Raw genomic sequence first — 10099 nt, 5'->3', positions numbered from 1 at the left:
AAGGGTGGAGGGATAGCAAGAAAGCTTGGAGAAGAGAATAAAAAGAGGCCACTTACCTGATTTAAAATTGGTGAGATGTTCCTTGGGCTGGTCTGAGGATCCGACGTCATAGGTGGATCTCCTCACGGAGAGAGGGCAAGGACAGGGGATTGATCTCCCGAGGGAGATCCCCTGTCCCAGGTTTTTCAGCACCAAATGTTACAAGAGTCCATGTGAAGAGACCACCAAACAGGCTTTGTGTGAGCAATAAAACTTTTTAATCACCTGGGTGCAGGCAGACTGAGTCTGAAAAAGAAGTCAGCAAAGGGAGATAGGGGTGGGACAGTTTTATATGATTTGGGTAGGTAGTGGAAAATTACAGTTAAAGGTGGTTATCTCTTGTGGGCAGGGACGGGGCTCACAAGGTGCAGGGTGGGGAGATCATGAGACTCGTTGCCCAGGAGAAGGAATGTCACAAGGCCAATTGATCAGTTAGGGTGGGGCAGGAACAAATCACAATGGTGGATTGTCATCAGTTAAGGCAGGAACTGGCTATTTTCACTTCTTTTGTGGTTCTTCAGTTGCTTCAGGCCGTCTGGATGTATACGTGCAGGTCACAGGGGATCTGATGGCTTAGCTTGGGCTCAGAGGCCTGACAGACAGCAGAGCTAAAAGAGCACTGGAGCACACACACTGGGGCTTCAGGAGTCACAGACACACACCCCTAGATGCCACCATGGGGTTGAAGCCCAAAAGCGCTGGCCCTGGCACCTGCGCTTGCCCATCTGCATGCTCCCCCTCCCATAAGGTGTTTCAGCAGTGGTGGAGGCTGAACAGACTAGCCACACTCCTGTCACATGTCCTGTGAGGGGGTCAGAGAACTCTCCCATTTCATCTGGAGTCTCACCTGGGATCCACAAGGGTGAACACAGATGTGGAGCTGTCATGCCTCCCTTTCCTGCAAGTAAAAAAAATATTGGCTGTTTCCCTTCATGGAGATCTAGCTGTTGCCGGGGACTGGAGTAAAACCCTGGGGCAACTGAAGGCATCTTTTGTTGCTGGAAAGCCCAAAGACTGAACTCCGTTGGCCAAGACAGGCGGACTTAACTGTGGTATCTCTTCTCCTTTCACGGTTTGAAGTGGCTCTATCTCTTCCTTTGTAACGTTAAGGGTTTTGCTACAGACTGCAGCAATGATGTTAAACAGAATGAGCATTTGGCCTAGCCATCAGAGGTGCAATTCAGAACAATGTGGCTTCCGTTTGGTGAGACACCAAACCCCACCTCAATGGCCTCAGGGTCACGGCACAGTGGCTTCCCTTCTTACCCCCTCCCCTCCCATCTCCAGCGGCTGGGCATGTCCATAGCATACACAAGGTGCACTCAATGTCCATGAGAGGTGGGAGAAAACTACGCCTGCCGCTGGAACACTGCACGGCCAGCTGGCTGGCTGGCGCCCCCTGCTCGCTGTTGCTGTGTCAGCAGAGCCTTTCCCCCAGTGGCTGAAGGATCCTCACTGGTCTGAACTGGGGGAAAGACACAATAATTAAAGGAATCCATTTTCACAAAGCAAGAGGTTCTTCCCCCAGGACCCCCCCCACCCCCCATCTTTTGCCCCTTAAGCTTTTTTTTTTCCTCCTTTTCTGGCAAAAGGATTCTTTTCCAGCCCTAGCCCTCTGCTTATGCTAGGAAAAACAACGAGGAAGCGACCCCTGCTGGCTGATAACTGCAAATCTGGCAAGGCCCTTTTGAGACAATCTAAACAGATACACGCAGGCCCCTGAAATACTTTCTTCTTCTTCTTCTTTTTTTTTTTTTTTTTTTTTGGTCTCAAACTCAGTTCCAAGCTTCAGGCTGAGGCCCTAGAAAGGAAAACCAGATCTGAGGGATCCAAAGCCAGGCAACAGGCACAATGTAAATGGGCAGGGGCAAATTCCTGTTGACTAAAGCCCTGCTTCATGGAAGGAGGCCATGGTCCAGGGCATAGATGCGACCCAAGGAACCCAAAGGTTGCTGACAGTAGCGGGGATAGAGACGTAGATGAGGATGGATAATTCCTGTTCTCTAGGCCCTCCCTGCTTCACAGGTGCAGGCCACAATAGCATCCATGGGTGGCATCTGTCTAAGGTTGCCAGAACTCAGGGATAAGAAGACAGAAGGGAAAGCGGGGATGCCCTGCTTTCTCTCCATCACATCCTAAGTTTTCATTGGAAGAAAAAAGGGAAATGAGGGATGCCTCTATTTCCCTGTCTTTCAGAATAGGCAACCAGCTCTTTTTACCACCCCCAGCTTATACTCCTCTGGAGTGCATCCTCAACCACTGGGACTGCTTTGACCCTCAGAGTCTGGAAGAAAAATGCCTCATAGCCCTCTGCACAAAGGTTTGGCCAAATTGTGAAGGATGGCTTGGCTTCAGGAAGGAACAATTCATTTCAATACCATCCAGCAGCTGGATCTTTTCTGTAGATATGAGGACAGATGGTCTGAGGCCCCATATGTGCAGGCTTTCTTTACCTTGCAGGGTAATCCAGACATTTGCCGACACTGTAGGATTGATCCAGACCTCCTGTTTGCCATCTCAGGAGAGGCTGCAAGAAACAATCCCAGGTAACTAAAGAAACGAATCCCAGAGGCACCCCCAGCAGAGGAGCCAGCTCCCTCCAACCCTGCTCCTCTGGGTCCACCCTGATCTCCCTATCCAGCTTCAGTCTCTCACTTACCCAGTCCTAGAAATCCTCACCCCAGACAAGCCCCAGTCTCACTCTTGCCCCTCCAACAGATGCCTGGTGAATTTGGCCCCAGTAAGGTCCAAGTCCCCTTCTCTCTACAGAACTTAAGTCAATTAAGGAGGATCTTGGCAAGTTTTCAGATAACCCTGACAGATATATAGAGGCTTTCCACAATTTCACCCAAATATTTGAACTCTCCTGGAGAGACATGTGTTACTTTAGAATCAGATCCTGATGGACACTGAGAAGCAGGCTGCTCTGCAAGCCGCAGAGAGATTTGGGGATGAGCTTTGTATCACATATAGCTCAGCGAAGGGGACGACATTTATCCAACTGGAAGAGAAGCAGCACCAGTGACTGACCCTGGTTGGGCTCCCAGTGATGAGATGGAGGCTGGAAGAGGAGATACTTTCAGGTGTGCATAATGGAGGGCTTACATAGGACTAGGACCAAGCCTTTCAATTATAGCAAACTATCCATGATAGACCATGGATTTAATGAAAATCCCACTGCCTTCTTGGAGAAGCTAATAGGGCCTTAGTTAAGGCATACCTCTCTATCTCCTGATTCCATCGAGGGACAACTAATCCCAAAGGAGACACTTATTACTCAAGCAGCCCCTGATATTAGGAGGAAGTTGCAGAAACTGGCCCTGGGACCAGATAGTACTTTAGAGGACCTCCTGAAAGTTGCCACCTCGGTTTTTTACAATGGAGGTAGGGAGACACAGGAAAGAGACAGAAGCTTTAATGGACACCATGCAAGCCCACAAACCCCATAATTCCCAAGGTGCACCTGTTAACTGCTACAGACGTGGTGAGAACAGTTAGCTCTCTCATAAAGTTTAACTGCTCCCTTACAAGGTTTAATTTCTTTCACCAGGGTGAGACAGATTGGGGTACAATGTTGTTAGTATATTTCACTTCTTATTTCTGTAATCTTTGGCACTAGATTTTCTCCTTGTATAACACACATGTTTAACCCATGTATACTTAACCTTATGAAACTTGTTTTTATCCTCTCTCACCTAAAGGCAATCAAAACTCCAAATGGTCAGGCAACCGAAGCCTCGGACAATGGCTTCCTTTTGCTGGGGACCCTTACATAGACCTCTGGAAGGACTCAGACTGTCATTTTCTCCAAACAATGCCCCTTGTCAGCAGGAAGTAGCTAAGACTGGTCGTCGTCCATATTCTAAGGGCAGTTAGATATGCCTCTTGAGAGGGGGGGAGGTGATATGGACAGGCGACAGGGAAATACTGGGTAGAAGAGGGCGGCTCCCCAGCAAAGGCCCTACCCTCAAGCCTAGAAACCCGAGGCCCTAAATGGGAACAGGCAGCCCTGTTTTCATGCCCAAAAGTTGCCTTTTGGCCTGCCATGTCCCCCTATCTGGTATCCATATAAACCCTAAACTCTGGACTCCAAGAGCAGATGAAAAGAAGAGCAGAAAAGTGGCAGAACAGTGAGGCAGAGAAGGAGAGAAGAGAAGGAGCATCTGAACATCTAGAGTTCAGCTGGGGACTGTCAGAGAGAAGATCAGCCACTGGACGGCCAAACTCCAGGGGAAGATCATCTTCCCACTTCATCCCCTCTCCAGCTTCCTATCCATCCCACTGAGAGCCACCTCCATCACCCAGTAAAATCCCCACATTCACCATCCTTCAAGTCCATGTGTGACCTGATTCTTCCTAGATGCTGGACAAGGACCTGGGTACCAAGAAGGCACTGAGCTGGTTAACACTTAAGCTGTCTGCAGACAGTAGGGCTAAAAGAGCACTGTACCATGCCCACTGGGGCTTTGAGAGTCACTCCACATGTCTAGGCAAACATCCCTAGATGCCACTGTGGGTCTTAAGCCCAAAAGCACTCACCCTGGCTCCTGCACCTGCCCATCTGCATGCTCCCCCTCCTGTAAGGGGTCTGAGTAGTGGCAGCGGCTGAACAGATGAGCCACACCCCTGTTGTACATCCTGCAAGTGGGTCAGGGAACTCTTTCATTCTGGTATTTTTCTTTTAAAAAAAAATTAACCTCTTGGTTTCCAGTATTAATTAATAAGTTCTTTCTTGCCCTCTAGGGTGGTCATGTAATCTTATAGATTTTTTCTTGCAGTATTTCCATTATTTTGCTTCTTAAGTTTAAGTCATTAGTATATTTGGAATTTAATTTTGTATATGGTATAAGATGAGAGTCCAATGTAATTGTTTTGCAAATGGACAGCTGGTTGTGCCAGTACCGTTCATTAAACAATTTCCCATTTTCCCACAAAATTGAACAACGATCTCTGTCATATGTGAAAATTCTACGTCTGTGTATACACACATACACATATATATGTATGTATATTAGGATCTTACTTGCTGTTTCATTGACCCATTTGTCTCTTCCTACATTAAGGCCATATTGTCTCAATGACTACGGTTTTACCCTATGCCTTTGTTCCTAGTTAGGCAAATCTTCTCATTGTTATTGATCTATTTTATAACTTTCATTTGCCATCCTTGGTATCTGTTTTTCCCCATAAACTTTAAGATCATCTTAACCAATGGAGAGAAAAATGTTGTTGGGATTCTTGCTAGAATTGCACTGATTTTTAATATTAATTTTAGAACAATTGGCATTTTGATGCTATTCAGTTTTCCCATTCAAGATTATGGTTGTTTTCTATTAGTTCGGTTCTTGCTTTATGCCTTTCAATAAGGTTTATTAATTTTCTTTATAGTTTCTATACTTTTCTTATAAGTACATTCCTAAATTTTTGAAACTTTTTAAGAAAAAGAGTAGTTTTATTTAATATCACATTCATCCATCTTAAATGTTCTTATTCCACCCAGAAGATTTTTATAACAAGTTTATTGAGGCATAATTTACCTACTAAAAAATGTACTCATTTAAAATGTACAACTTATAACTTTCAGTAAATTTACAGAGTTACACAAACATCACTCCAATCCAGTTTGCATTTCCTCATTCCCAACTCCAGTCTAGACAAGCACTGATTTGCTCTCTGTCTCTACGGTGTTGCCTCCTTAATAGGTTATTGGTTTTCTATATATAATTGTATCATTCTGAGCAGAGGTTATTTTATCTCTGCCTCCAATATTTATTAGTCCATTTTCATGCTGCTGATAAAGACATACCCAAGACTGGGAAATTTACAAAAGAAATAGGTTTAATGGACTCACAGTTCCACATGGCTGGGGAGGTCTCACAATCATGGCAGATGGTGAAAGGCATATCTCACATGGCGACAGACAAGAGAAGAATGAGAACCCAGTGAAAGGGGTTTCCCCTTATAAAACCATCAGCTCTCATGAGACTTATTCACTACCATGAGAACAGAATGGGGGAAACCACCCCATGATTCCATTATCTCCCTCTGGGTCCCTCCCACAACACGTGGGAATTATGAGAGCTATAATTCAAGATGAGATTTGGGTGGGGACAGAGCCAAACCATATCACAATGCTTATAGAAATTATTCCATGTTCTTATTTCATTGCATTCACTACAACTTCCAAGACAATGTTGAATAATGGTGAGAATGAGTATCCCTCTGTAGTTAATGGTTTAATTAAAATGATGTTAGTGTTTTGTAGTTCAAAATAATACTTGCTGTTAATTTTGGTGGACCATCTTTATTAAGTAGTTTTCCTTGGTTCCTGGAGTTTTTATTAAGAACAACTGATAAATTTGGTTAACTGCATTTTCAGCTTGTGCTAATAAAATAATGCTTTTATTTCTTAGGTTTTCCTGATATTAAGCCACTTTTTCATTGTTGGAATAAACCCTGCTTGATAGTGTACCATTTTTTGAAACATTACTGATTTGTTTCACTAATGTTTTATTTAGAATTTTTACATCTATATTCAGAAGTAAAATTGGTGTATAGATTTCTTATATTTCTTTTATACAATTTGGGTGTTAGAGCTGCTGACTTGTTATAATGAATAGGAAAATTTTCCCTTTTTATGTAGGTTGACATAGTTTAAATAGCACCAGAATGATTTGTTTATTGATCCTACCTGGCTCTGGTGCCTTATTCAAGGGGAGATTTCCTATCACATTCTCAGTCTCTTCTATGGTGGTTTTCTATTCAACATTTCCACTTCATTTGTATGAAGTTTTATAATTTATTTTTTTCTAGGAAATCATTCATTTCATCTAGATTTTGAAATTTGTGCCATGGGTGTATATTTAGCTTTCACCTATAATTATTTTTCTCTCTCCTGTGACTATCTTCTCTTATTTTTATTTCTATTTTATGTTTTAATAATTTTATCTTTAAATTAAATTTTTTTGTAGCGATAAGGTCTCACGATGTTACCCAGGTGTTCTCAAACTCCTGGCCTCAAGTGATTCTCCCACCTTGGCCTCCAAAAGTGCTAGGATCACAGGCATGAGCCACCATGCCTGGCCTCATCTTTTATTTTTACCAATTCTCTCTTCCTTATTTCTTCTGTTTTCTGGAGTTTACAGCTGAGTCCTTCCTTACTTCCTTCATTTTCTGATGTTGTTATGAAGTGCTCCCCTTTGGGTTGCTTTTCTTTTAGTCTGCACTCTTTATTCTGACCACCCCCATGATTCAAGTTCAGCTGGGAGCACGTTTTTTAACATATATATATATATATAACTTTTGGTCCTATTTTTATTAGCTGTTTCTAATATTATTGAATCCTGATCAACAAAATTTCTTTTTATTTTTGGACACAAGGATTTCATGGTAAATTCCTTTAAATGTTTAAGGGATATAGAAAAAGTACATTCTCCCTTCTAGAGATGTAAGATTATTTATCTATATAAATAGACACACAAGGATGCAACACACACATATGTATGTATAATCACATTTGATTCCTCTTTTTATTTAAAAAATTGAGATGAAATTCATATAGCATAAAATTCAACATTTTATACAGTGTACAATTCAATGGCATTTAGTATGTTTAGTACAAGTTTCAAAACATTTTCATCATCCCTAATAAAACCATGTACCTGTGAGCAGTCACTTCTCAGCTGCTCCACACTCCCAGCACCTGGCCAAAACCCATTTGCTTTCTGTCTCTATAGATTTGAATATTCTACCTGATATGGTTTGGCTGTGTCCCCACCCATATCTCATCTTGAATTGTCGTTCCCATAATACCCACATGTCCTGGGAGGGACCAGGTGAAAATACTTGAATCATGGGGGAGGTTTCCCTCATCCTGTTCTTATCCTAGTGAATTAGTTCTCGTGAGAGCTGACGGTTTTATAAGGGGTCTTTTCCTGACCTCTGCTCTACATTTCTCCTTGCTGCCATCATGTGAAGGACATTTTTGCTTCCCGTTCCATTATGATTGTAAGTTTCCTGAGGCCTTCCCAGCCCTGCAGAACTGTGAGTCACTTAAACCTCTTTCCTTTATAAATTACCTAGTCTCAGGTATGTCCTCCTAGCAGCATGAGAATGGGCTAATACAGTAAATTGGTACCAGGTAATGGGGTAATGCTGTAAAGATATCTGAAAATATGGAAGCAATTTTGGAACTGGGTAACAGGCAGAGGTTGGAACAGTTTGGAGGACTCAGTAGAAGACCAGAAAAATGTGGGAAACTTTCGAACTTCCTATAGACTTAGAGGGCTCAGAAGACAGGAACGTGTGGGAAAGTTTGGAACTTCTTAGAGACTTGTTGAATGGCTTTAACCAAAATGTTGATAGTGATATGAACAATAAAGTCCAGGCTGAGGTGGTCTCAGATGGAGATGAGGAACTTGTTGGGTACTGGAGTAAAAGTCGCTGATATGGTTTGGCTATGCCCCCACCCAAATCTCATTTTGAATTTTAGCTTCCATAATCCTCATGTGTTGTAGGAGGGACACAGTGGAAGCTAATTGAATCATGAGGGTGGGATTTTCCTATGCTGTTCTCATGGTAGTAAATAAGTCTCACAAGATCTGATGGTTTTAGAAAGGGCAGTTTCCCTGCACATACTCTGTTGCCTGACTCCATGTAAGATGTGACTTTGATCCTCCTTTGCCTTCTGCTATAATTGTGAGGCCTCCCCAGCCATGTGGAACTGTGAGTCAATTAAACCTTTTTTTTGTAAATTACCCAGTCTTGGGTATTTCTTCATAGCAGTATGAAAATGGACTAATCCAGTCACTCTTGATATGCAAAGAGATGGGTGGCATTTTGCCCTGACCTAGAGATCTATGGAACTTTGAACTTGAGAGAGATAATTTAGGGTATCTGGCAGAAGAACTTTCTAAGTGGCAAAGTGTTCAAGAGGAAGCAGAACATAAAAGTTTTAAAAATTTGCAGCCTGATGATGCAGTAGAAAAGAAAAACCAATTTTCCGGGGAGAAATTCAATCTGGCAGCAAAAATTTGCATAATGAGAAGCCAAATGCTAATCACCAAGACAATGGGAAAAATGTCTCCAGGGCATGTCAGAGACCTTCATGGCAGCCCTTCCCATCACAGGCCTGGAGGCCTAAGAGGGAAAAATGGTTTCCTGGGCCAGGTCCAAGGCCACTTGCTGTGTGCAGCCTTGGGAGTTGGTGCCCTGCATCCCAGCTGCTCTAGCCATGGCTAAAAGGGACCAATGTACAGCTCAGGCTGTGGCTTCAGAGGGTGCAAGCTTAAGCCTTTGCAGTTTACATGTGATATTGAATCTGTGGGTGCACAGAAGTCAAAGATTGAGGTTTAAGAACCTCTATGAAGATTTCAGAGCATATATGGAAATGCCTGGATGCCCAGGCAGAAGTTTGCTGCAGGGGTATAGGCCTCATGGAGAACCTCTGCTAGGGGATTGTGGAAGGGAAATGGGGGGTCAGAGCCCCCACACAGAGTCCCCACTGGGGCACTGCCTGGTGGAGCTGTGAAAATGGGGCCACCATCGTCCAGACCCCAGAATGGTAGATCCACTCACAGCTTGCATTGTGCACCTGGAAAAGCCACAGACACTCAATGCCAGCCCATGAAAGCAGCCAAGAGGGGAGCTGTACCCCACAAAGACACAGGGGCAGAGCTGCTCAAGGCCATGGAAGCCCACCTCTTGCATCAGCACAACTTGGATGTAAGACATAGAGTCAAAGAAGATCATTTTGAAACTTTAAGGTTTAGTGACTGTCTTATTGGATTTTGGACTTGCATGGAGCCTGCATCCCCTTAGTTTTGGCCAATTCCTCCCATTTGGAATGGGCTTATTTACCCAATGCCCATACCCCCATTCTATCTAGGAAGTAACTAACTTGCTTTTGATTCTGCAGGTTCATAGGTGGAAGGGACTTGCCACGTCTCAGATAAGACTTTGAACTTGGACTTTTGGGTTAATGCTGGAATTAGTTAAGACTTTAGGGAACTGTTGGAAGGGCATGATTGTTTTGAATTGTGAGGACATGAGATTTGGGAGA

At 43.4% G+C, this 10099-nt stretch overlaps 1 long non-coding RNA gene across 7 annotated transcripts in view; it reads right to left on the bottom strand.

The window, feature by feature from the left end:
* Positions 1 to 234: 234 nt before the first annotated feature.
* Positions 235 to 10099, bottom strand: part of LOC124909426 (uncharacterized) — a 34702-nt gene continuing 24837 nt past the window's right edge. For 3 of the 7 annotated variants that reach the window (XR_007096060.1, XR_007096063.1, XR_007096062.1), the window contains 2 exons: positions 2493 to 2566; positions 235 to 1504 (listed from right to left, as the gene is read on the bottom strand). This is a non-coding gene — a long non-coding RNA (uncharacterized LOC124909426). The remainder of the gene's footprint in view (positions 1505 to 2492; positions 2567 to 10099) is intronic. The other 4 variants (XR_007096061.1, XR_007096057.1, XR_007096059.1 and 1 more) reach the window with 4 other exon arrangements.

The sequence above is a fragment of the Homo sapiens genome, chromosome 3, assembly GCF_000001405.40.
Source record: "Homo sapiens chromosome 3, GRCh38.p14 Primary Assembly".
Lineage (NCBI taxonomy): Eukaryota > Metazoa > Chordata > Mammalia > Primates > Hominidae > Homo > Homo sapiens.
Note: the sequence above shows the minus strand (reverse complement) of the source record. Positions and strands in the feature narration are given on the sequence as shown.